Source organism: Homo sapiens, chromosome 1 (genome assembly GCF_000001405.40).
Source record: "Homo sapiens chromosome 1, GRCh38.p14 Primary Assembly".
In the NCBI taxonomy this organism is placed as follows: Eukaryota; Metazoa; Chordata; class Mammalia; order Primates; family Hominidae; genus Homo; species Homo sapiens.
Genome location: NC_000001.11, coordinates 144,913,787 through 144,941,158, shown reverse-complemented (window position 1 = coordinate 144,941,158; position 27,372 = coordinate 144,913,787). Strand labels below are relative to the sequence as shown.

Sequence of the window (27,372 nt, the reverse complement as noted above, 5' to 3'; positions counted from 1 at the left end):
CTATGAAAGAAAAGAAAAAATTTTAAAAAGTAGTAACGTGTTTTTTTCAAGATATTGTGGGTAAAAACATAATAAAAAGAAAATAATAATTACTTGGAATCATGATTAACATTTTGATGTATTTCCTTCCAATCTTTTTTATACACATTTTTTTTAAAAATGAGAGTTACATTATATATTAAGCTTAGTGTAATTTTTTTCATTTAACATTTGGAGAAGCATTTTTATCATGTCATTGCATCTTCTTTTAAATGTTGCCTATATGATCATACAGCAGTCTGTAGTCTGGCTGTCCCATAGCTTTTTCATATATTCCTTATGGTTCTTTGGCTATGTTGTCTTTTTTTTTTTTTTTTTTTGGAGATGGAGTTTCTTTTTTTCAGGCTGGAGTACAGTGGCGTGATCTTGGCTCACTGCAACCTCCGCCTCCCGGGTTCAAGTGATTCTCGTGCCTCAGCCTCCCGAGTAGCCGGGATTACAGGCGTGGGCTACCACATCCAGCTAAGTTTTTTGTGTTTTTTTAGTAGAGGTGGGGTTTCACCATGTTGGCCAGACTGGTCTTGAACTCCTGAACTCAAGTGATCTGCCTGCCTTGGCCTCCCAAAGTGCTGGGATTTCAGGCGTGAGCCACCACGACCAGCTGGCTGTTGTCTTGACTCTCCCCTGGACTATGTTCTTGTACATCTAGAAGCAATTAAAAATCTCGTTGTCTTTTTGGAAATCACTTGTTTTTAGGATGACTAGGTAGCCAAGGCTTTCATTTGGAAATACCCTACTTCCATTTAATATAAGGTAAGGAGAGAGGGTTTTTCCCCCTGCTGCTTTCCCTTTTTCTTCCTCTTCTGTCTTGCTCATTGTCTTAGAGCTTAGTTGAGAATCAGTGCTACGCCTGAGCCTGGGCCCTGGCTGGCTCAGTGGAGTTCTTTCACCATGCTGAGTTTCACTTTCCTCATCTTTACACTAATGAAATTACTCATACCCTCACTGTTCCTTCTCAGAATGCTATAGGCATCAGTAAAACCTGGGAACAAAGTGCTCTGCAAAGTTATGTTATGGTCAGAAGGTATCTGGTTGTGTTCATGCAGAAGAGCGTGTGTCTTGTGCCTTCGCCCAGCTAGGGTGGTCTTTGCAATCTCTAAGCTAATCTTTTTTTAGCGGTATATTATCATATAGGCTAGAAAGGAAATACAGAGAACAAACTGGGCGATCCAGTCTCCAACTTTAATCATCTCTTCTCCAAAGCCAAGATAATCCAAGCCATCTGACCACATAAGCATTGCATCCCTTCCTGCCTTGCCTCTTCCCATGACCTTGTTTTTCTTTTGATGTTCATTTTGAGGGTGGAGAGTAGAAAAAGCATTCTCTTTTTGCTGCTCTCAGAGTCAGTGGTCTTTCTGGACCTTTAAGTTCTCAGGCAAGGAAAACCACATAGTCTACCTGAGCTTTCAGGGACTGAAGGAAAAAAAAAAAGTATTGCTTTACTCAAATTCAGGACCACAAATAACCACTACCAACCCATTCAGTTGAGTTTAATAATATTATTTTATTGTCTGTAATTGCTCGGTATTCAAGTTGGCAGTATAAAAGGCCTGCAGAGCAAGCTTAAAACATGGTTCAAGATCTTAGATTTCTTACATCTCAGGTGAAAGACAGACCATAGACTCCCAAAGCAGGTTACAATTTAGATAGCAATGTAATGAGTCGTACAGACAATTTGTTGTCTATAGGATCTTGGAAAAAAAACAGATTCATGAAAAGTAAGTCAGGAGAGCTTCATAGAGGGGAAAGAATTGGGCCGATGTTATTTTAATTACCTGCTTCCAGGATTCTCAATTAGCCATCTGTTTCTTATCTTACAGAAATATCTTTTGAAGATTTCCATATTATCTGATTCCAAGTTCCTTTCCTGCCTCTTTGTCCCCATTAGAGATGTCACTCATGAGGACAGTCTGACAGCAGAGACTTCCTTTTGACCAGCAATGGGAGAAATATGTGGAAATAGCCTGAAGCCTGAGTATAGAAGGCTTTGAATGCCAGTCCAAGGAGTTCAAACTACAGGTCAAAGAGAGCCATTGACAATTTTAGGCAGGGCAATGAAATCTTGAAAACCATGATTTCCAGTGGCATTGGCAGCAGTACTCAGTGTGGTTTAGCATGGAAGAAACTATATAGGAGCCTGCTACAATAATTCAGAGGGATAATAGAAACTTGGATAATGACAATGGGAACTAAAAGAATTAGATTTACCAGAAGGCAGAGGAAAGACATTATAGACAGGACTGAGTGGCCTGACATGAGGTGGGAGGAGGTCATTCAACTTAGTCATTCAGCAGTTCACTTAGTCATTCAGCAGATATTTACAGTGTGCCTCCCATGTTCCAGGCACTGTGCTAGGCACTGGAATATAGCAGATAACAAAAAGTTCTTGCCTTCATGGAGCTTATATTCTAATAGTTGAAACAGATAATACATAAAAAAGTAAATATATAATATATCAGATGATGATAAAATGAAACAGGGCAAAGAGGATGGGGTACAAGGGATATTGCTCTTTTATATAGGGTGGTCAGAGACGGCTTCACTGATAAATTGGCATTGGAACTGATTCTTGGAGGAAATGAGGGATTTTGCTGTTTAGCTCTTTGAGGAAGGTATTTCAGGCAGAGATAATAGTGCACATCTAAGGCCATGAGATGGGAATGCGCTTATCTGGTTTGAGAAACAGTAAGGAGACCTTGTACAGAGTAGGCAAGAGGAAGAGTGGTGGGAGATGTGGTCTGGGGCAGCGAGCAGGTTTCTTCAGGAAGGGCCTTGGAGGCTACTGGAGGACTGGAGAGGCATGATACAGTCTGACTTCTGTTTAAATGGGATTATTCCAGCTTCTGTGTGAAGAGAGTGCTTTAGGAGGAGTAGGGTGGAAGCAGCAAGGGAAGACCAATTAAGGGAGCTTCTATAAATAATTAGGGCAGGAAATCATAGTGGATTGAAACAGGGTGGAGCTTTGGAGATGGTGAGAAGTGGTCAAATTCTGGGATATATTTTGAAGATGGAGCCAATAGGATTTGCTGCTTGATTGATATGGTGTATGAAAAAAATAGCAGTCAAAGATGACCCCAAGCATTCTGGCCTGAACGATTCGAAGTTGGAATTGCCATTTATTGAGGGAAGTGTGTGGAAGAGCCACTGATTCTAGTCAAGCCCTGTAATTCATGAAGAATCTGAGAGCCAATGAGAAGTAACTTGCCTTAGTTTACCCAGTTAGGTAGTAGTTGAGATGTGACTGAAACTACCAGGTCTTCTAAATTCTACTCACTGCTCTGTCCAGTACATACCATATTTCTGACTTCAGCTTTAGACATGGTAAAGGGAAGGTTTAGTGAGGGCAAGAGCTAGAAGAAGACTTGAAAATTAACCACACAAAAGACCAGTTGAGGTCATGAAAGGGTATTCAGAGTAAAGGGTAGTTGAGGCCTAGAAAGAAGACTTTGAAGAGCTAGCAAAGAAGAGAGAAGAACAAATTAAAATGGGCAAAAGGAAAATGAGAGTAATATGGCTCAAAGGACTTAAGAGAGAAGAAGACTCAATGATGAGTTCTATGAAGGGGTCAGGAAGAATGGGAACTGAACAAATGTCATTAGATTTGGGTTTTAGAATCTTGGGAAACTGTGGTGCCTACAACTTAACCTCCTTTAAAATTTTAAGCACTTTTCTTGCCGTTTCAGCTAATAAGGAGAAGGAATATAACAGGGTAAGCCTGAGACAGAGAATTAAAAACAAATTTACTTCCAACTCCTGCATTACCTTCTTGTGAATCCTACACAAAAATTTGACTTTCCCAGACTCCCATGTGCCCATCTATAAACTGAACAAGAAGCATACTTCTTGCCCACTTTGCCTCCTGGAGATCCTGTGAGGATAACAATGACAAAGGATAGGAAACTGCTTTGGAAGAGAAATGTTACATAAATCAAGATATCCTTTTCTAGCTGACTTTAAGTTTTTAATTTAAGAAAAATTCTTGAAAGAGTCACAAAAAACTTTACTTTAGAGATACACTAAATGCAGGACGTGTTGACTGATAAAATAGATATTCTTCTTGGAAACAATGGAAAATACTTCAGTATCATTTTGATTAAATCTTGCTTAATAACTGTTCATTAGACTCATATCAAATCCTGTCTTGGCTTTGTTATTTAATTTAATTTAATTTTGTAGTCATTGTTACCCAACCACAAAAGAATTACCCCTGTGCTTAAGGCCACACAGATTTTTCAAACATTGATATATCAGCATTGGTCCTTCTGATGAAACACAAGATGAGGTTTTCCCTGCTGAGTGTCAGGCAGTCTGTCTCAAGCTGCAGGCTGAAGCCCCAGTGGAATCTAATTCCATCCTTCCAGTCCCCTTCATACGAAGAGTGGGAAATAGTGGGAATGGAAATTAATTGTACCTGCTGGCATTATTAAAGTTATCAGTGCGTATCCCCTCTTGGGCCAGGAAGATTAAAAAGGCTGTTGTAATCAGAGCAGATGATTTCTGACACACTGGATGGGCTTCCTCCCCAGGTTAGATGTAAGGAAGTGATCTGAGCTTGTTGCCTCTGGCCTGATACCACATAGCTCGGGGCTATGCAGTGTCTGCCTCATCCTCCCATCAGCCCTGGAGGAAAGCCAGGATCCTGCTCTCTGAATCAGAGATCTCTTAGTTGGAAAATCAGGCCTTCTCACTTAAGACTAGTGTATTCTGGCTGCGCATTCCTCACAAGATGTAGTCAGGTTAGGTTAGACCTTAGAGTCACACCTTGTTCAGGTTCAACCTGAGTGAAATAAGGAATTGAGGTGCTGCTCCCTGGTGATTCAGCTCGTTTTAGCAAGTGTTTATTAAATGCTTTCCCCAAGCACCACACCAGGCCCAGACAATTCTGCCTGTACACATCCTGTGGTATTTGTTGGTTGGAGGAAAGAGGCTCTTGTAGTTTATGAATTAAAGAAAAAAAATTCCTGATCTGGGAATGAGAATCTTATCCTACGTTTCACACTGACTCACAGCCTAACTTTGACTGTGAATGCCGCCTAACTTTGTAACCTGTCTAGGACTTAGTTTTCTAATCTGTAAGATAATGGTTTGGACTAATCTCTCTAAGATTTATCTCTGAAATTCTGTAATTAAGTGAGGGAATTTCTATGAAAGTGCTTGGCAAACCATTGGGCTATTATGATAGTTCTAAGTGGAAACATTATGTTTCCTCAATACACAGTGAATTGAGTTCTGACTCTCTGGGGCAGATAGATTTCTGACTTTCTGGGCCATGTGTTGAAAATATGAAGATGGCTGACGTGGCCCCTGATATTGAATACAGTGTCTAGTGGGAGAAATAGACATGCACATAAGCTATGATGATACAGTGTAATAATGGGTTCTTGGGTGGAGGGAAATATGAGGTGAGGTTTGCCTTATGATGTCCTTTGTATCTTAGGAAGAATGGGAGTGTAGGAGAGGGGAGCATAGGGGATTTCTGGGAGATAAAACCATTTATGCAGAAAGCAAGGAAGTATAATAGGTGAAAAGCGTTCCGGAACTACAGGTGGTGTGGGTGAGGATGGCTGCACACAGGTCCCTTGTAGGGGAGTGGCAAGCGATGAGGCTGAGGAGGTGGGCAGGGCCTTGCCTGCCACATCAAAGGGCTTATACCCTGAAGCCAGTGAAGCAGAAGCCCCTGTAATGTTATTGTTTTAACTTCTTATTTTGAGATAATTTCAGACTTAAAGAAAGATTGCAAAGTAGTCCAGAAATTCCTCTGTACCCTTAACCCAAATTCCCCAAATGTTAAAATCCCATCTTTCCAATATTTGGGGGCGAGATTTTTAAAAAATCTCGTATAATCACAGTACAATGATCAAAATCAGGAAATTAACACAGAGGTAATACTATAATCTCTCAATCTTACTGAAATTTCACTTGTTGCCTTGCTAATGTCCAATTCAAATTTCTGGTTCAGGGTTCAGTTTAGGATCACACATGATGTCGAGGTGAACTGTCATCTTAGTATCCTCTAATCTCTGACAGTTCCTCTGTCTTGCTTTGTCTTTCATGGTTTTAAAGAGTTCTGGTCAGTTATTTTGTAGAATGTTCCTCAATTTTGGTTTGTTTGGTTTCCTCATGATTGGATTCAGTTTAAGCAATTTTGGCAAGAACACCGTAGAAGCGATGTCATATTTTTCTTAGTGCGTTATATCAGGAGGCACTTGCCGTTGATTTGTCCCCATTACTGATGGTGATAATTTTAATTACTCGGTGAGGATGGGTGTCCCCTTTGCACTGTAATAAATGTCTTGTGAAGATACTATGTAAATATCCTATTTCTCCTCATCCTTTGCTTACTAATTTTTAGCATGCTTGTTAACTGAAACAATTCTACTAGCGGATTTTACCAAGAGAGTGCCATGGACAGATTTGCCTTTTAGAAAGATTACTCTGAAATGTTTGGATGTGAGAGAGATGTGAGAACAGGGAAAAAGTTACTACAGTAGTTCATTCAAGAGCGGGGCCCTGATCTAAGGCAGTGAGAGGAGGAGTAGAGAAGACAGAAGAGCCATTTAGGCTATGTTTGGAATCAATAAGCAGGGTTTACATTTTGTGCTATAGATTTAAATGCTGGAAAAATTCTGAAATGGGGGGAAATATCACATTTTTTATAGATTAACAGGCATCTATATAACCTCTGGGTTGCTCTTTTTTTTTTTTTTTTTTTTTTTGAGATGGAGTTTTGCTCTTGTTGCCCAGGCTGGAGTGCAGTGCGCGATCTTGACTCACTGTAACCCCCGCCTCCCAGGTTCAAGTGATTCTCTTGCCTCAGCCTCCCGAGTAGCTGGGATTATAGTATGTGCCACCATGCCTGGCTAATTTTTGTATATTTAGTAGAGACAGGGTTTCACTATGTTGGCCAGGCTAGTCTCGAACTCTTGACTTCAGGTGATCCACCCGCCTCGGCCTCCCAAACTGCTGAGATTACAGGCATAAGCCACTGCACCCGGCCCTGGGTTGCTCTTCTAAGAATAGCTGACTTTATTAAACATATTGTAGGTTTCATTAAATGATGTTTCACAAGGTGTTGCTTCTCCTGGACCAAATTCCTGTTGTTCAGCTGAGAGCTATTTCTAATCTCCAGTGTGGATGTGCTCATCATTTGGTTATAGGATGTGAGCAAATGAGATGGTGTTCTGCGTAGCCCAGAGGCTGCTTCCATTAGCCCTTTCCCCAAACTTTTGCCACTTTCAGGCTTAGCAGTATCCTCTCTTGGGTTCAGAATGCCTGCTCTTTGCCCTAATACAAAACCTAGAGCTGTAGGCCATGTTCTTATGATTTGACAGTATCAGGGAAGCATTTCTTATTGACTTTTCCAGAGAAAGAGAGAAAATAAGCAAGCCGGCAACAAGACAGAGGGGAAAAGGGAAGTGGCTCAGTTCTTACTTTAAGAAACAACATGGAAGATATGTTTGTTGATTTGAGGGTGGTGAATTTTTGCACTATAGCTTTGTGAGGGAGCTGGAAAGAGCCTTTCAGTTTTTCATGACTGGGAGTTTAATTTGGTTTATAACATTACTTAAAGATAACTTTGAAATTGGTCTAAGAACTTAGGGTTGTTCCTGACCCCAGGTCAATGGCCTACTTGACCTAGGCGAGAGGAGAAAGAGTTAAGGATAGGGAGTTGAGCTTTTTGCTCCAAAATCTATAGAGGGTACACCCCTCTTATATTCTGGAGTCTTACTGGGTTTCTGAAAATGCCCTTGTGGGTCATGAAACATAGCCCTTTGAATATTTTTCTGCCGCTGCTGATGTGAGCTGATTAAACTGGCAGGCAGATGATGGAAGGAATAGTTACATGTCCCAGGCGGGAGGTCATGACAGTTGGATCTGTGGTTGACAGAAGAATTTCAACACACATTCAAATCAGCTCCTAAGATAGATTGTCTGAGTTCCCTGGGCCTGCCTCATGCCCTCCTCAAATGCATTTGACTCCTTCTGGCCCGTAATACTCACACTTCAAATGTTTGGCTTGGCGTCCACAAATCAACTCAGGGCCGGGGTAGGGGTACTGATGAGCAGTGATGCCCTCTTTGGGAGCTACCACAGCATAGGAAATGAACATTAGACCAGGAATCAGGTAACCTGGTTGGGGACCCAGGGCTCTAGATGGTTTATTTTTTTATTTTCCTTATTGGTTAAATTCCCTACCGCAGTTTTGACATTCTCTTCTGGATACTGACTGTGGTCTAGAGAAACAGCTAAGGAAGGCAAATCTGAATTAAAATCTGGTTCTTGGGAAAGAACTGAAGTTTTCAGATTTTGCAAAATTATGGAGAGTGCAGACTAGGAGAAAAAGGACAGGCATAGTTGTGACAAGGAGCTATTTTTTCTAGTTCTGCATTCTAGAAACAGTACTGATGAGTCCAAAAATATAGAGATAAAATTTTGTCTTTTTTCTTGCTTTAAAAAAAAATGCTTCTAAATGTCTACATACTTGCCTAAGAAAATATTTCTCAACTCCTCCAGAATATTTAGGGTTAACTAAAAATTATAAAAACATACCACAGAGCTAGTCCACTCTTTATGCCTAGGGTTTACCCAAAAGGTCTGCATGCTCTGGCTTGGAGACCCTGACCCCATCTCAACTTGCTGGTTTCAAGTCTACATATTTGGCTGCAAAGCCCTAATGCCAGGAGGAATGCGGAACTGACGAGTCCACCCCATCTACAAGCTAGAAGGACATCTTGATTAAATTAGTGTCAAGGGCAGTGGAGAGAAAGGCACAGTGACACAAAGGGTGTTTTGAGGAGCCCTGTAGCGCCTGTGGAGAATGAATGTTCTTGTTAAATATGGCCGTGACCTGCAGCTCCACACATGCCAGAGACACAGCTCAATTGTCCCCAGGATTTGGGGGGTGGGGACGATCATGGGGAGAGGACAGCCTGGCATGGAAAGGCAGGAATGCAGGAAGGCCTGTTGTTGTTTTCTTTTTGCGATAACTACAGCAAGCAATTCTTTGATCATGGTCCTTGTGTTTGGAAGGGATCAAGAAGCGATTTCCTTTCCCCTGGGTGTTTGAACCTTTGCTCTGCTCCTTGCTTCTCTGGGTATTAAGGGGACTCCTGAAAGCCCCCATTGTCTTCAGCCTCTTTCCACCCCCTTCCTTGGGGCTCCCCAAGAAGATTGTTGCCTGAACTCTGTAGGGCAAGAATGAGAAGCAGTGCCCCCAAGACAGTGCCTACCCTTGTCATTTACCCACCATCCTCATCTCATTTATCCTTAAGTCCCAAGACCAAAGCAAAGAACACATGGGCTGTTGAAGGCTTCCACAGGACTGCCCTGGTCAGTGGGAAAGCAGTAATGCTTTCTAGCTGGGTAACCCCTTGGCTGAGTTCCATCTGCACTGTGGCCAGGGTGCGTGGTGAGACATGCTTTTGCCATTTGCCCTTTGAACTGCCAACAATCCCAATGTAGCAAATGGGATTTAAAGCAAATCTAAAGCTGATTGAGTTTTAGATTTCTTTCCTTTAACCAGAATATTCTAGCAGCTTATTTTTATAGTTCTGCTTATATGATTCTCTTTTTAACAGATGGAATCACAACCTTTTCTGCAGAATATATCTGATGAATTTAAAAACTGATACATCAAGAATATTCTTTTGTATATGTCTTTCTTGCTGTGAAAATTTATGGCCTTTCTTCCCCCTATCTTCGCTCTGTAATTATTAGGTGCTTACTATATGCAAGGCATTGTATAAGATTAGGAGAATACAGATAAGACAAAATAGCATTGAAGGAGTTTATGAGTTCAATTCCAACTTCACCAATTAATAGTTGTTCTCATGGACAAATTTTTTGACCTCTCTAAGCTTTAGCGTCTGTAAGTACTAAGTGCTTTTTGTGCAGAGAGATGTAGAGAGGTGAAATTTGAGCTGGATTTTTAGTGAATGAAAATGATTTCAGTAATTAAAGATGAAAAAGTACGGAGTTTGTGAGCATGGAGGGGGAGCTGGAGTCAAAGGATATTCCATATGGAAGAACAGGCTTCAGGATGAAGGAGAGCACCGGAATGTGTGAGGACTCTTCAGAGGGTGGTGAGTAAAAATAGTTTGGCTAAATCAGAGTGTTAATGAGGAGAGCAGCTTGAAACAAAGCCGAAAAGAGCCTCGAATGCCAAACTTGGAGTTTGAACTTCATTCTGAGAGCACTAGGGAACGATGGAAGACCTACTCATAGGGAAATGATAAAATATTGCTGCTATTTCTGAAAGACTGGGCCTCTAATTCCAGGACAGGGTAATAAGAGCCTGAGATGTGGTAGCAGTGACAGGAGGAATGAAAAGAAGGAGACAGATGCCAGACATATCATGAAGGAGAAATGAACAGCGTATGGCCACTTATTGGAAAGAGAATTCGAAGTCAGTGATTACTTCTTTCAATTTTTTTATGCTAGTGTCACTTAGGAAAAGCCAGTGTGCTGTTACAGAATTTGAGGTGGCTGGTGAAGCTGACATTTTCACATGTCTCACGAACTAGATGCCCAAATCTTTCTCAGACCCCAGATGGCCCCATATAGAGCTTTTATACGTGCCAATTTTTAGAATTTCTTGTAGAGTTCCTCCATTTGGTGGTCACCAGAGGATCTCTGAGATTAGTATCTGGATTCTTAATCATTCAGCTAATTTCAGAGATGTCCTTTATTTGAGGTAGATTTAACCTCCTTTTTCTGTTTGATGGAGTGTGGTTTTTGAAAAGTCCCTAAGGAAGTAATGTGAAACCATACTTGAAACCTCAGGCTTGCTTCTCTCTTGTTTTACCAGAATGCTTTGGTTACCACGTCCTGGGAAATGAACAACTTAAAACGTAAGTGTGGCAAGCCTTCACTATCACCAGTATCTGTTCATTGTATCAAACAAAGCATATTTCCATTCTTATTAGGTTTCCAGAATTGCACTGGGCCTGGTGAGGGCTACAAATAAACATAAGATAATCTGTTTTCAAAATTTAAACTTAGAGTTGTGCTTCTAGAAATGGAAGCTTTTCTAGAAGAAAATTCAGACCAATCCTTTTGCTTCATGGGAGCTGCTTTCCTTGAAGAGGCTTCTGCCATTTTAGAAAATATTACTGAGTGTCAAAAAGCTGAGCAGAGTGTTTAATAGACTTGTAGGGCTAGCAGGACAAATATGGAAATTTAAGGCCCAGGGGCCCAGGATGGGTAGCCTTGGTAAAATTCCCCAGGCTTTGAGACACCAAAGGGATACAATTAAGAAGGAAAGATAAGCCAGAAATAGACTAAGGCAGTTTCATAGAGACTGAAGCCTGGATTCAAATTATCTTAACCTCTAATTGGATTAAGGTGATTTAGGATAGCCAGTGGCTAGAAACAAATTTAAATCCTCTCTAGAGGAAGATACTGTGGAAGATACTATCATCCTAGACCTAATATATCTCTCATCATTTTTCATTATGATGTTTGGCACTCAGTTATAAATAATTAGGCCTATGAGGAAATAAGAACTGTGACCAAAAGCTAAGAGAAACAGCTAGACCCACAGGAGATCCTAGTAATGGTGTTAACAGATGCAAACTTTAAATTAACTATGTTTAATATGTTTATGAGATTAAATTATAAAAACAAACCTGGAAATAATAAAAAAATTAACTCAAAATGGATCAAAGGCATAAATGCAAGAGCCAAAACTATAAAACTCTTAGAAGAAAATATAGGTGTAAGTCTTCGTGATCTTGGATTAGGCAATGATTTCTTACATATGACACCAAAGCACAAGCGACAAAAGAAAAAATAAATAAATTGAACTTCATCAAAGTCAGAAACCTCTGTGTTTGAGAGGACACTGTCAAGAAAATGAAAAGACAGCTATAGAATGAGAAAAGGTATTTTCAAATCATATATCTCATCAAGGTCTAATTTTCAGAATATATAAAGAATTCTTACAACTCAGCAACAAAAAGATGACCAGTCCAGTTTAAAAATGGGCAAAAGACTTGAATAGGCATTTCTCCACAGAAGATACACAAATGGCCAACAAGCACATTTTTGACACTGTTATTTATTGGGCTACTGCAAATCAAAACCACAATGAAACACCACTTCACACCCACTAGGATAGCTATAATTTTAAAAAGGAAGAAAGAAAAGGAAAGAAGAGTTTTGGAGAGGGTATGGAGGAATCAGAACCCTCATACATTGCTGGTGAGATTGTAAAATGGTGCAGATGCTATGGAAAACTGAAAATTCCTCCAAAACTTAAGCATAGAATTAACCTGTGACCCATCAATTCCACATCTAGGTGTATACCCAAGAGAATTGAAAACATATGCTCACACAAGAACTTATACACAAATGTTCATAACAGCATTATTCAAAATAACCAGGCTGGGCACGGTGGCTCACGCCTGTAATCCCAGCACTTTGGGAGGCTGAGGTGGGCAGATCACGAGGTCCGGAGATCGAGACCATCCTGGCTAACATGGTGAAACCCTGCCTCTACTAAAAATACAAAAAAATTGGCCAGGCGTGATGGCAGGCACCTGTGGTCCCAGCTACTGGGGAAGCTGAGGCAGGAGAATGGCGTGAACCCAGGAGGCGGAGCTTGCAGTGAGCAGAGATCGCGCCACTGCACTCCAGCCTGGGCGACAGAGCGAGACTCCATCTCAAAATAAATAAATAAATAAATAAATAAATAAATAAATAAATAAATAAATAACCAAAAAGTGGAAGCAACCCAAATGTTAATGAAGTGATTTATGGAACAAACTTAAACAAAGTATGGCATACCTATACAATTTAAACAAAATGTGTCATGTCCATACAATAGAGTAGTATTTAGTCATAAAAAAGAAGGAAGTGCTGATACATGCTACAATATGGATATACCCTGAAAACATTATAAGTGAAAGAAGCTAAACATAAAAGGCCACATATTATATGATTCCATTTATAGTAAATGTCCAGAGTATGCAAATCTATAGAGACAGAAAGTAGATTAGTGGTTGCTAGGAGCTGGGGGAAGGAGAGATGGGGAGTGACTACTAACAGGTTTGAGTTTTCTTTTGGCATGATTAAATATTCGGGACTTAGTGGTGGTGGTTGTACAACCTTGCAAATATACTAATAGCCACTGAATTGTGTACCTTGTAGTGGTGAATTGTACAGTGTGTGAATTATATCTCAATAATTTAAAAAATCAAACAAATTTTAGTACAAAAAATGCAGTAACTAAAAGAGCTCAATGTGTAGATCAAGTAGCAGATTAGATGGTGCTGAATAAATAATTAATGAACTGAAACGTCAGAAAACAATGCATACTGAAGCTCAGAGAGATAAACAGATGGAAAATACAGAAAAGAGCATAAGAGACTTATGGGATAGGGTAAGTAGGCCTAACATGCTTCTACTTGAAGTCTCAGAAGAAGAGAACAAAGAGAATGGGATAGAAGCAATATTTGAAGAGATAATGGCTGTGAATTTCCCTAAACTATAAAAGACTTCAAGCCACAGACTGAAGCATTATGAGCCCCAAACAGGAGAAATACAAAGAAAATACAAACAGCTAGAGGTAAAAAAGACGTATTATCTTCAGTGGAGCAACAGCATGGTTGACAGCTGACTTCTGGACAAAAGCAATGGAAAGCAGATGACAGTGGAATGAAAGTGTAGAAAGGAATACCCTTCAAAAATGAAGGTGAACTAAAGATGTTTTCAGACAAGAAAAATATGAGAAAATATATCACCAGCAGACTTGCACTAAAAGAAATACTAAATGGCATTATTTAGGCAGAAGGAAAATGATCCCAAATAGAATCTTAGAAATGCAGTAAAGAATGAGGAGCAACAGCAACTATATATAAGAATATAGATTGGCCGGGCACGGTGGCTCATGCCTGTAATCCCAGCACTTTGGGAGGCCGAGACGGGCAGATCACGAGGTCAGGAGATTGAGACCATCCTGGATAACATGGTGAAACCCCATCTCTACTAAAAATACAAAAAAATTAGCCAGGCATAGTGGCGGGCACCTGTAGTCCCAGCTACTTGGGAGGCTGAGGCAGGAGAATGGCGTGAAGCCGGGAGGCAGAGCTTGCAGTGAAACGAGATCATGCCACTACACTCCAGCCTGGGCAACTGAGTGAGACTCCGTCTCCAAAAAAAAGAAAAAAGAAAAAAAATATAGATCTAAGTGAATAATCACTGTTAAAAACAACACTAATAATCATCTGTGGGGTTTTCCTTTTTTAGATGTGTGGGTGGGAGGGACAGAGTCTTGCTCTGCTGCCCAGCCTGGACTGCGGTGGCACAATTATAGCTCACTGCAGCCTTGAACTCCTGGGCTCAAATGATCCTCCCACCTCAGCGTCCCAAGTATAACAGCTGGGACAAGAGGTGTGTGCCACCATGCCTGGCTTATTTTTTATTTTTTGTAAAGAGAGGGTCTATCTGTTGCCCAGCCTGGTCTTGAACTCCTGGCTTCAAGTGATCTTCCTGCCTTGGCCTTCCAAAGTGCTGCGGTTACAGGCATGAGCCACCACACCAGGCCAACCCTGTGGGGTTTTAAATATGTATAAAATTAATATAAATGGCAACAATGAAATCAACAATAGAATCTGTGTCTGGGTGGGGGTAGGGAAATGGGTTTAAAGATATTTTCAGAAAGTGGTAAAAGTAGTAATTTGTATTAGGTGTTGGCAATTCAAGGATATATGTTGTAATTTTTGGTAACCACTCAAAGAATAGTATTGTACCAATCTAAGAAAGGGACAAATTCAGTTAATAAAAAAGTAACTCAAAAGAAGGAAAGAAAAATTCTGGGGAGGGCAAAACTATAGAGATACAGAACAAATCAATGGCTTCCAGTGGTTAAGGGTAGCGGAGAGTTTGACTCTAAAGGTGCAGGATACAAGAGGTTTTTGGTGGGTGATGGAACTGTTCTGTGTCTTAATTGTGGTGATGGTTAGACAACTCTGTGCATTTGCCAAAGCACATGGAACTGTATGCCAACAAGAGTGAATTTTCTGAATGTTTTGTAAATGGAAGAAAAAAAGAAGGTAGGAAAGGAGAGGAAAGAGGAAAATAGAAGAGGCAGGACAAATAGAAAGCAATTAGCAAGTTGGTGGGTTTAAACCATAATATAAGGTGTAAATTGACTTATGCAAATTAAAGACAGATTTTTAAAAAGCAAAACTAGAGTGTATGTTGCTTGTAAGAGAACAGATACACTTTAAATATAAGGATAAAGAAAGATTTAAAGCAAAGTGATAGGAAAAGATAGCTACAATAAAATCAGGCCAGGTAGATTCCTTTCTTTCTTTCTCTCTCCTTTCTTTCTTTCTTTCTTTCTTTCTTTCTTTCTTTCTTTCTTTCTTTCTTTCTTTCTTTCTTTCTTTTCTTTCTCTCTCTCTCTCTTTCTCTCTCTCTCTGCCCCCCCACTTCTTTCTTTCTGTCCTTTTTTTTTCTTTCTTTTTTTTTTTTTTTCTGAGTCTTGCTCTGTCACCCAGGCTGGAGGGCAGTAGTGCAATCTCAGCTCACTGCAACCTCTGCCTCCTGGGTTCAAGCAGTTCTCCCACCTCAGCCTCCCAGATAGCTGGGATTACAGGCATGCGCCACCATGCCCAGCTAATTTTTGTATTTTTAGTAGAGACAGCGTTTCACCATGTCAGCCAGGCTGGTCTCAAACTCCTGACCTCAAGTGATCTGCCCACCTGGGCCTCAAAAGGTGCTAGGATTACAAGCCTGAGCCACCGTGCCCAGGCAGTCCAGGTAGATTTCAATGCAAAAAGTATTTTTCGTTATAAAGAGAGACATTTCCAGGCTGGGCATGGTGGCTCACTCCTGTAATCACAGCACTTTCGGAGGCCGAGGCAGGCAGATCACTTGAGGTCAGGAGTTCGAGATCATCCCGGCCAAAATAGTGAAACTCTCTGTCTTTACTAAAATACAAAAAATTATCCAGGCATGGTGGTGAACACCTGTAGTCCCAGCTACTTGGGAGGCTGAGGCAGGGGAATCACTTGAACCCAGGAGGCGGAGGTTGCAGTGAGCCGAGATGGCGCCACTGCACTCCAGCCTGGTGATAGAGTGAGACTCTGTCTCAAAAAAGAAGAGAGAGAGACATTTCCTAGTAAAGACTAAGTTTCCAGGAAGAAATATATACTTAATAACATAGGCTTAAAATATGTAAATCAAATGGGACAGAATTAAAATGGGAACTAGATAAATCATCACCCTAATGAGAGATTTAACACACCTGTCTCAGTGAATGATTAAACAACTAGACCAAAAAAGTCAGTAAAAATACAACAAACTTGACCTAAATGACATATATGGATACTGCGCCTGACAACTGCGGGTAGATACACATTCTTTTTTTTTTTTTTTTTTTTGAGACGGAGTTTCGCTCTGTCACCGAGGCTGGAGTGCAGTGGTGCGATCTTGGCTCACTGCAAGCTCCGCCTCCCGGGTTCACGCCATTCTCCTGCCTCAGCCTCCCGAATAGCTGGGACTACAGGCGCCCGCCACTACGCCCGGCTAACTTTTTTTTTGTATTTTTAGTAGAGACGGGGTTTCACCTTGGTCTCGATCTCCTGACCTCGTGATCCGCCCGCCTCGGCCTCCCAAAGTGCTGGGATTACAGGCGTGAGCCACCGCGCCCGGCCAGATACACATTCTTTTCAAGTGTACGTGGAACATTTACAAAGTTTAAACCTGAAATGGGGAGGAAAAATCGAAGAGCTTAGGGGAGAAATTAGAGCTGGAGATTGGAAATCTCCATTTCCAAAGTCTACCTTCTTTTTCTCACAATTCCATGATTTTTCAGTAGGAGTGGGGTACTGGCCAAGAGGGAAGGTATCCTCCCCCAAGAATATTGATTTTTCTTTTTTCAACTGTATGTAGGCCATGACTAATGGGAATGGCTACCCATGTGTTTACTGTGGACAAAGACAAGAGGCTTCAAACCACCATTGTAGCTGACGAAAGCTGATACAGGCTCAAATCTTCATCCCAGTCCCTAGGCAATGCATTCTAATTTCTGTCAGTAAAGGGCTCTACTCATTCTCCCAAAGTTGGCTTTGTGCTCCTCTTAGGTCCAACCCTGGCACCTGAGGTGTCAAGAAAATGCTGTCTTCATAACTCACTGGAGCCTCTTCCTCTCGATTCTAAAGGCTACTCCCAGTGTTCTAAAACTACACAGATCTCTCGATGAATTGGCTTTGCTGCTGGGTTCCTCTTTCTTAAAAGTATTTAATCAGCGATTTTCCCAGTGCCCCAGGCATTTCCTGTACGAGTGCTGCTGACTGTTTTACTTCCTACCAGGCTGCCCTCCTCCTCTTGGCATTCACACTTCCAACTTTCAGATGAGCTCTATTAACTCCTGTTCTTCCAGCCTCCGCCTGGCTCAGCCATCTGGGAGCCACACAGGCATTCTTTCCATCCCCCAGCTCATAGATTTCCTTATTGTAGAAGGGCATATGTTTTCAAGTACCTTATCATTCTGGCTCTTTCCCCCGATTCTCTCCCAGTTCCAAGCCATTGATTGTTTTTCCTCCTTAGTTCATTTTACAGCTGCTGAGAGATTTGAGCTCTCGTGTTGCCTGTTTGCTTTTGTGTCTTTTGTCCCTTATGTCCCAGTCTACTCAAGGTTACCCACAGTCACCTAGATACCATTTCTACTCTGTGCTTTTAGTGTCCTGCTTGGGAAATGGGGTGATCACTCATCTTCAGAATGACCTCAAGAAATGCTTTGGCATGAGAGATCAGGGCCTGAAGACATTACGCCCCCAGCCAAATCATTATCCAAAAGGGTAAAAGATGGAAATTTGCCAAGACAAAGATCACAGTGGTAGTTTAAGAAATGAAAGCTTAGATTTGATTGTCTGTTTTAAGGGATGTTGTTTTGAGTTTATTTTCTTAGTATTAGGATAGGTCATTCAAAGAGATTGGAACAACCATGGAAGAACATTCAGATTATTATAGGACTGTGTTTCAGACTGGGAGAGCAGAGGGCCGTTATCCTCTTCCTGACCCCACCCTGAACTCCCCTGAACTCCCACCCTTGTCCCGAGTATGCCTGTCCCTGACAAGAGACTTTGGTCAGGGACCAAAGTGAGCTTTGTTAGTGAGCATTCACAGAGGGTAGGAGCTGAGTCCACGAAGTTCACATCATGCCAAGGAATGGATTTCCTCCCAGGGCCACTAGCATTACTTGTGGGTTATCAAGTGTTACTGCTCACACATTCCAGAGCTTCTAGAAAAGCCGTAAGGAAATGGCTTTCAGAAAGCCATTTCTGTCCTAGAGGAGAGAGGTCCTGGATTTCACTGAACCAGAACTTGATGGGTGGTTTTGGTATTCTGTGACCTAGGTAGTGGGGAGCCCCTTCCTTTGGATGTTTCCTTTATGCCCACAGTCGAACCATATCCTAGTTGTACAGCCAAGAAGGATCTTTTCTGTTTAATCTATCTGGAGGAATAGAAGGTAATTGTATCCTCCTTATTTTCATTCTGCCACCCCTACCTTCATCATTTCTTCCTTTCTGCTAAGCACTTTTTATCATCTTTCTTTGTTTCGTTTTGGGAGTTTTGTTTTTTTGTTTTCTTTCCTCAGGAAAGCTGAATTATTTCTTACAGAGTCATTTAGTTCTTACTGAAACTGGGGAAGAAAAAGATTATGCAACAGCAGGCATAAGGAAAAACAGAGAACGTTCTTCCCTTCGGGCCCACAGAGCCCATTGGAGGAATTCAGCTACAATCCTGCCTGGGAAGTAGTTTCCAGGACCTTCGCAATTCCACATAGCATCTTTAACATGTTTGAGAGTACGTAAGGAGGCAGCATAGTGCAGCGGAAAGAACACTCAAGTGAGTGTTGAGGGGGCTGGATTCTAATATTAATATTAGCCAACATTTATTGAACAGGCTAGGTGCTAGATTCTGTTTAAAGCACTTTATGTGGATTATCTCACTATTCTTATTATCCTATTTTACAGATGTGGAAGCTGAAGCATAGAGGGTTTAAATATAATTTACCCAAGGTCATCAATTGGGGAGTAGAAGTAGGATTCAATTCCTGCTCCAGAGCCTGCATGTTCAGCTCTCTTTTAATACTGCATGTGGTCCTTGATAGGCTACTGACCCTGGAAAAGTCATTTCAACTTTTAGGGCTCATTGGTGAACCATAACCAAAGGGAGCTCATTGTGGCTAACCTCTGATGGAGTTTCCACTTTTAATAATTTATATGATGAAATGCAGCTATATTGTTTAGTTCTTGTCATTATGTGAAAGCATAGTATTTAAACTTTGATCTCATTGATTCAGCAACTGATTATTTTATGGCCACTGTGCACAAAGCAATGGGCTGGGTACCACAGAGGATTCAGAAAAATGCTTAAAAAGGTAAAACCTATCTCTTCCATTAGCTTTAGATGGTTTCATATTGTAGTTGCTTTGAGATTTTTTTAGACTAAGTTTTTCAGATAATTAAACAGGAATCAAATTCAAAAACTATTCATATTCCAGAAGAGGAATCCTGAAACAGGTATTGGGCCTTAGACTAGTCAAGTTTCTGACATTTTCTTTTAAAATATAACTTGTCACTAGGATAGTTTATATCCATTAACTCCTGAGTGAAGGAGCTTCTGGTGAAATTGTTTTTTATGGTGCTTACAAGCTCAAGGGGTTCTTTAAAAATGGAATGTGACTGCTTTGGGAGTCACTAATACTGAAGCTGGATCATTATAACCTGAAATATCCATTAGTAACTTAGAAAGACAAACCCAAAGAAAAAGAATTTACTATGTAATAGCTGGATTTTTTGAAATCAGATTTTTTTTTTTTTTTTTTTTTTTTTTTTGGCAAGCTAGATTCAATATCTAGCTTGCTGTGGAATTAGGTTATGGTGTGGAAACCTCTTGGCTGGGACAGGAAAAAAAATTGATCTTAAACTAAAAAAACTAACTTAAGATATTCCATTTCTAGTAATACCTTTGAGATTGGAAGAATTGCATTCTGATGGGCCCAGACGTTAGATTAATGTCCATCTTTCTCAACAGGTTGTAAACTTTTAAACTTTCTGTTTTGCATTCAGACCACAAGTGCCTGACACTTAATAAATGTTCTATAAATATTTGCTGATGGACTCTTTATTGCTTACTCCCTAAAATCCAGCCATTTCTCCCTTGCCAGCATTCAATAATTGAACCTGCTTTGAAACATCTGATCAGCCACTTCAAGACGGCAAGTTATTTTAGCTCCTGTCTAACTAAGTTAGTGGGCTCCAGTCCTTAAACCACTATTTTCTTTATTAATTCCTCAAGTACAGACTTTTGTATGTAACCAGTCTTCTTAAACCTGTGTATAATGACTCATTAATGAGTTGTAAAATAAATGTAGTGAGTTATGACCAATATAAAAAAATAGAAAAGGCCAGGCACAGTCGCTCGAGAATATAATCCCAGCTACTCTAAGAGGCTGAGGTGGAGGGATCTTTAGGCCAGGAGTTTGAGACCAGCCTGGGGAAACATCACGAGACTCCATATCTGAAAACAATTTTTTTAAAAATTAGCCAAGCATGCCTGTTACCAGCTACTTGGGAAGCTGAGGCAGGAGGATTGTTTGAAGCCAGGAGTTTGAGACCAGCCTGAGCAAACTCAGTGAGATCCCATCTCTACAAAAATTACAAAAATTAACCAGCGTGTTTGTACACATCTGTCGTCCCAGCTACATGGGAAGCTGAGGGAGGAGGATCACGTGACAGTTGAGCCCAAGAGTTCAAGGCTGCAGTGAGCTATGATCAGGCCACTGCATTCTAGCCTGGGCAATAGAGCAAGACCTTGTATCTAAAAAGAAAGAAAGAAAAGAAAAAAAGAAGATAAAAAAATAGGAAATATCATAGTGGACAGCACATAAGTAGAGGTGAAGCCAGCTGGACTTCCTCAGTGGAGTGGGGACTTGGAGAACTTTTCTGTCTAGCTAGAGGATTGTAAATGCACCAATCAGCACTCTGTAAAAACGCACCAATCAGCGCTCTGTGTCTAGCTAAAGGATTGTAAATGCACCAATCAGCACTCTGTAAAAATGCACCAATCAGTGCTCTGTGTCTAGCTAAAGGATTGTAAATGCACCAGTCAGCACTCTTAAGAGCTGTAACACTCACCGCGAAGGTCCACAGCTTCATTCTTGAAGTCAGTGAGACCAAGAACCCACCAGAAGGAACCAACTCCGGACACATAAGTACTTTTATTATAGACACCTATTATGCTGTATTGCAATAAAAAATGTATTTTTTGAACATCCTAGTCTACCTATCTTCAGAAGGCAAAAGCACCTCTGGTGTCCCTGTTGTGGTATCTCCTAGCCTACCTCTCTATAAAAGTTTTGCAATTAAGTATATTTGTGTTTTATACATCCTTGGGCTTCTCATAGTTTAAGGTCCTAACTGGAGTTCAGTCTTTCTCAGAGCCGTCTCATGGTATCCTCACCGATGAATGAATGCTGAATAGAAAGAGCCCTGCTTGCATATATGCAGGTAGTATGGTGGAGGGGAAATCTAGAAGTCATTTCTGAGCTCTGACCTGCTGGATCATCACCCCCTGAACCCCCAGAGCCTCGGCATACAGCCTCACACTGTACCACCTATTTTGGTGGCCCAAGTTAGCTGAGAGAGAGGACCAGACACAGTGCCCACCATCACCTAGCACTGGCCCTGCTACCAAACAGTCATTCCTTTTAGCCCTCTCCTCCCCACCAAAAGCATTTCAGGCAAAGTGCCAGCTCCTGAAATGTGGCCTCTTTGAAGTGGTTAGTGAATGCCCCTGAAACCACCACCTTATGTATGGTGGTGCTTCTGCTGCCAGAGCTTAATACAGGGTCATGTTCCTTTCCTCTGAAATCTGTAACATAAATTCAGTTTTAAACTGGATTTTTTTTTTAACAGTTGGTCTCTGAACAATCTTTAGGGTGGGGAGGGGATAGTAGTGGTTGTTGGGGAGATATGTGCCCTTGAAAACTGGATTCTTTTTTGGAAAACTGCTGACACAGGCTAAATGGCAGAGAACTAAATGGCCCTACTGTTCCTACCTGCTGACAGGCTCAGCCTTGGGATGGGGCTGAAATGAGCTCTCGCCACATGGCAGAGACATGCCTTCCTCTTTTTATTCTTCTTTCTTACAAATAGGGGGTACTTTTGTGCCTGTCAAAAAATACAGCTTTGAAATGTAGATAACCAATTAACAACAGTCCCACCCCCAACTTGGAAAGCACATGAGTGCTGATCTAAATAACTAGAGAATCGGTAACAAGTAACCTCCCTATTGAGAACAGGTCTGAAACCTCTTTCATAATTGGTGTTCTTTGGGAAACGCTAATAGACAAACCCATCCAAGCTCAGGAAATGTACTGATTTAAAGAGGTCTAAGGAAGAGTGACCAGCCCAGTGGCCAGGCATCCCGGATGCCTAGGATCCTTATGTTTCCGTACATATCTGCTGTTACATCCTTTCTGTGAGCAAGGAGGCTTTGGAACATTACAGTCTTGTCTTGGGGAGATGAGATGACACAGTGCATTTCAGTTCTGTTTCCAATGCTGTTATCTGTTGGAAAAAGGAAGCTTTCCTACCCATTTTGTCAGCATACAACTGGTAGAAGCTGTTGCAATCTCATTGTCTTCTGATCAGCCCCTCGGCAGCAGTCAGAGTGGAGGCCAGTGAAGCACTCTGGCCAAATGGTTGTGGTGAGTTTCAAAATAAGAGATCCCAGCCTGAGCACACCATCACACTTCCCATCCGATAGAACCAGCATTGTTAACTGTACCACATCTCTATTCTAAATTTAGGCATCTTTTTTTTTTCCAGGCAAAGATTACTATGCAAACATTTAAGAGAAAAACTTTGTCCAAAGTAATTTTTTCCCCCAACTTCTATTTGGTTTCCTGCAATGTTGAGATGACTCATTCTCTTCCAAGAAATTTTAAAGAAAAGAGATGCAGGCTGTATGTTAGTACACAAAGACTGCTCTGTAAATTCTTTTTCTTCCCTGTCTAGAAACCCCTTGCCTTTTTATAGAGAACGGAAAAGCTCTACAGTCTTCATTGTCATGTACTCGGCCTCATCAGGTTTTGTTGTTCCCAGGAATAAATGTCCCCCTTGTCTTTGGGTGGGGCCCCCTTGTGGCTTACCAGCTCTGTCAACCCCACTGCAGTGGCCAGCACGGAAGCCCTTCCTGGGGCCACGCTTTCCCCCAAAGGCACACAGTTAAGGTTTCTGAAACAGAGAACGAATGGCCTTTTATCATCTGTGAAAGGAGAGACACTGGCAATTTCCTGCCTCTGGCCTAGTGTCAGAATTTCTCCTGATTGCTAGAGGCTGTATTGCACATTTTAAGTGGGCTCGCTACACATGTATTCCCAGCCCAACCCTCAGCCAGAGGGAGCAGTAAGTCAGATCACTTCAGCAGCCTGTTCAAATAAACAGGGATAATAGTTGAGTGGTCCTCCCAACTCATCAGTACATGAAAGGAAACATCTGCCTGGGCTTAATTGCTGTTTTTTTTGGTTACACTTTTCCCTCCTCTTCTTCCCCCATCCCCCACTCTGGGGCTAGGTTATTTAAGTCATGGGTAAGCAACAGGGTAGAGGAATAGGAGCTTTCTCCTTTAACCTCTGCCATTCAAACATAAGGAGGAGTTAAGAAACGATAGGCTGGCAGGGGGAGATGGCCCGGAGGCAGGAGGGCAGGGCGGTGGGAAGTGATACTCATGGTCACTTCCTGACCCTGTTGCTGACTCTGGGGCTCAGAGTGAGTCATGTTGCCTCACTTCACCTCCTTGGGCCTCTGTTGCTTCAGTGGAGCTCAGCTTTCCTCTCAATGGAAAGGACAGGCTGGTATGTGAGATCACAGATGAAAGGCATTCCCTCTTGTGGCTTCTTCCAGCAGTTGAGGTCATTGGATGAGAGACCCTGGAATGATAAATTTAAGACTGGCAAGATCCCCTGAACCCGTCCATTTTGTAGAGCATCTGGGTCCCCGAGGAGAACTTGCTCATTATCTTCTAGCCAACCAGCCATACACTAAAGGGAGGGATGTTTGAAGCTAATATGGACTCTAGAAGCCAGGCAGAAGATCATGTAGAATCATAGAATGGCAGAGGTTGGAAAAGACTTTAGAAATGTTTTAGCTGAAGCTTTTCATTTTATAGAAGGGAAAACAGAGGGCCAGAGAGGTTAACCAGGTTGTCCAGAGTTACCTCTTTGGTAATGCAGGAGCCAGGAATAGAAAGAGAATCTTGTGATTGCTAATTTAGGGCTCCTTCCACCCCTTTCCCCACTATCAGATGTAAAAATTCATGCTTACTCATGACAGAGGCCACACATAGGTTATATTCCATAATGAATACCTTAATAGAAAAATGGGCAGAGAACACCTTAATAAGAAAATGGCAGATTATAAAAGAAAAATGAAAATGACTGATAAACATTTTTAAAAATGCTCAGGCTCATTAGAATCAAAGGATTGCAAATTACAATAGGATACCACATCAAATTGTCAAGACAAAAAAATGTGAAATAAACATTCATATATGCTATTGGTGGTATTTTAAATTGGTACCGTTTTTCTCAAAGGCATTTTAGTGGTATAAATGGTAGTCTTTGACCCAGCAATGTTATTTCTAGGAAAAAATAATGAAAGGTGTGTGCATTAGATCATATACAAAGTAATGTGATATGGCATTTTTTATCACAAAAATTTAGAAGTGAAGTAAATGTCCAAGAATGGGAGCTACATCAATAGAACGTATTATAATGCTATAGAACAATAATACATGTGGAAATGTTTACAACATATGTTTAAGTGAATAAGTTACAAAACAGGATTTATAATGCAATCCCAATTTTGTAAAACTAGAAAAGATTAGAAAAATACATAACAACACTTAGAGTGGTGATTTCTTAGTGGTAGGAATTTAAGAGTTACTTTTGTTTTCTTTTTTGAGGTTTCTAGTTTCCTTATTATAATAAACATACATTACTTTTGTAATCAGAAAAAAAAGTATTTTTTAAGTAGAGATGTATGTACCTTGAAAAAAAGCAAGATCTTAAATGATTGTGTATCTGACATGAAAGTCCTTCCTTTTTTTGCCTGGGAGCTAGCAGCTATGGTGGGAGGGATGGGAAACAGTATTATAACTTCTGTTAGGATGGCATTTTGATACCCGAATTTCTGGTAGGAAAGATCTAGAAGGAGCTGGCAAAAGATAAAACAAGGGCTTTCCCTCTCAATGACCCATGCTGCCAATCAGTTTTAGCTCTCTTAGGTTTGGCATAGAACACTTAGTATAGAAGGTGTGACAATTTCCTTCCTGCTTCCTCCTTTCTTTCCTTTCCTTTTCTTTTCTTTTTTTTGAGACAGAGTCTCACTCTTGTCACCCAGGCTGGAGTGCAATGGCGCAATCTCGGCTCACTGCAACCTCCACCTTCTGGGTTCAAGCAATTCTCCTGCCTCAGCCTCCTGAGTAGCTGGGACTACAGGCGTGTGCCATCAGGCCCGGCTAATTTTTGTATTTTTAGTAGAGATGGGGTTTCACTATGTTGGCCATGCTGGTCTCGAATTCCTGACCTCAGCTGATCCACCCACCTCGGCCTCTCAAAGTGCTGGGATTACAGGTGTGAGCCACCGTGCCCAGCCCTCATTGTTTATTTCTACTGCTCTATGTAGTTAGATGTCAGCCCTGGGTGGCAGCAGCAAAGAACCCAGGAGCCATCACTGCTCAAGATTAACTAGTTGGAGACCCCTTAACATATATTTTCAGCATCTAGTAACAGCTAATCTCTCAGGCAGTCAATATTGAGATACCGCTGCCTTGTGAGTTTTGGGTAGAAATAAAGCAAGTAAGAAATATAGTTCCATCCTGCTTGGAGTTTTCTATTTAGTTAGGGACTTTGAAGTCCCTGAATGTTTATATACTTTTTCCTATTTCATCCCATTACACATCTTACTTTCCTTTGAAATCTTCTGGAATGCTTGACTGCAAGTATCTGAGAAACCATGTTCCACCTAACAACAGTTGCTAGGTAGGATGTGGCTTTCAGGCCTGCTCTTTGGGGACCAATAGAAAAACCAAAGGCTACCACCCTTTTTCCCTCTACGCAATTGCCTTTGCTAGGCTATAGAGAGGGCACATTTCATTTTATTAAAACTCTTTGAGTAATCTGACCATAATTGGGTCTGATTGGAGTGGTTATCTGATTTGCTGGGTTAAATAATGGGCCTTAATTGAGTCTGGGTTATTTGTAGAGCCAGTGTGGCTTTTGCCTTCGTTGCTCCCTCCTCTCTCTTCTGTTTCCCAATTAACCTTCATTCCTCTTTCCTTGCAGAGTAAAGAAGTCGGCCAGCAGCTCCAAGATGATTTGATGAAGGTCCTGAACGAGCTCTACTCGGTAAATCAGATGGGTTGCTTGGCTCTTTAACAAGCAGAGGGAAGCAGCATTTGGCAGCTTGCAGCCATAGTACATCAGCAACAGAACTGAACTGAGGTTGAGGACAAGTGCATGGTCCCCACTGGGGGTGACCCCACCCATCTCTTTTTTCACACTCGTCTTTTCAAAACGGAATGAGTCAAAAAATACTTCCTCAAAATAAGTTTTCTCCTCAGCTATGCAAGCTCACCCTGGCTTTATTTGGGGCATAATTACTAGAGACCAGCCAAAGTCTAGGTCATTGGCACAATGGACCCCGTTAGCAGCAAACCAGGGACCCTGAACTAATGGCAAGGAACGTAGCCTGCATTGCACTATTAATATGTGCCTGTCGGAAAGGCTTTATTGTTCTAGGTTTTTCATCAGATCTTGGATTGATGTATGGCTTTGAGACTAGAACAAATGCTCTAGAGGGCAGCACAGAGTCCTAAATGCCCCCAGTAAGAGGGACCAGTTTGAGCAGAGAGAGCTTTGCACTGGCTTCCTGGAGTTTTATAAAGCCAAACCTCAGTGACGAGGCAGGCTGCGGGCTTGGAGAAGAGAACACAATCTGTTCTGAGATGACTGGCGCTTCAGGCACATGATGCCTGTGGCTGGTGCGTGTTAATTCATGCGCAGAGAGGTGGTGGTGGTGGTTGTTCCCCAGCCATGTTTTTCTAATTATAATGAAAACAAACACACACTCACACACATACACACCAAGGAAATTCCTGTTGCTATACAGGGAATACTTAAGTTATACAGCTAATGCCTTTCAGGGGCCCCTTCTCCAGCTTGGATGTGCCAGCCTACTATGTCATTCTCCAGGGTTTCTCCATCCTGTTTGAAGGTGATACTGATTTCTGATGTTTACTTGCTTATTTGCT

At 41.4% G+C, this 27,372-nt stretch overlaps 1 protein-coding gene and 1 long non-coding RNA gene across 13 annotated transcripts in view, besides 1 other annotated feature; both read left to right on the top strand.

The window, feature by feature from the left end:
- SRGAP2B (SLIT-ROBO Rho GTPase activating protein 2B) overlaps nt 1-27,372 on the top strand; it is a 208,093-nt gene that overhangs the window by 154,222 nt on the left and 26,499 nt on the right. For 10 of the 12 annotated variants that reach the window (XM_005277421.5, NM_001366280.2, NM_001330684.2 and 7 more), the window contains one exon: nt 26,405-26,467. The exons of 1 other annotated variant lie outside the window; for it this stretch is intronic. In XM_005277421.5, coding sequence (XP_005277478.1) covers nt 26,441-26,467 — 27 coding nt within the window. In that variant the 5' untranslated portion in view covers nt 26,405-26,440. Of the gene's footprint in view, nt 1-10,868; nt 10,890-26,404; nt 26,468-27,372 lie in introns of those variants that run through there. One more of the 12 variants, XM_005277422.5, reaches the window with a different exon arrangement.
- Nucleotides 8,753-9,254: an enhancer, noted in NCBI's record as "H3K27ac hESC enhancer chr1:144076705-144077206 (GRCh37/hg19 assembly coordinates)". NCBI's record gives its function as "activates a minimal SCP1, AML or CMV promoter by ChIP-STARR-seq in primed H9 embryonic stem cells {active_cell/tissue: H9 hESC(primed)}" and the evidence as "EXISTENCE:reporter gene assay evidence [ECO:0000049][PMID:30033119]".
- LOC107985595 (uncharacterized) lies at nt 10,035-10,895 on the top strand. The gene is made up of 2 exons (XR_001737760.3): nt 10,035-10,121; nt 10,847-10,895. It is a non-coding gene; the product is annotated as an uncharacterized LOC107985595 (long non-coding RNA).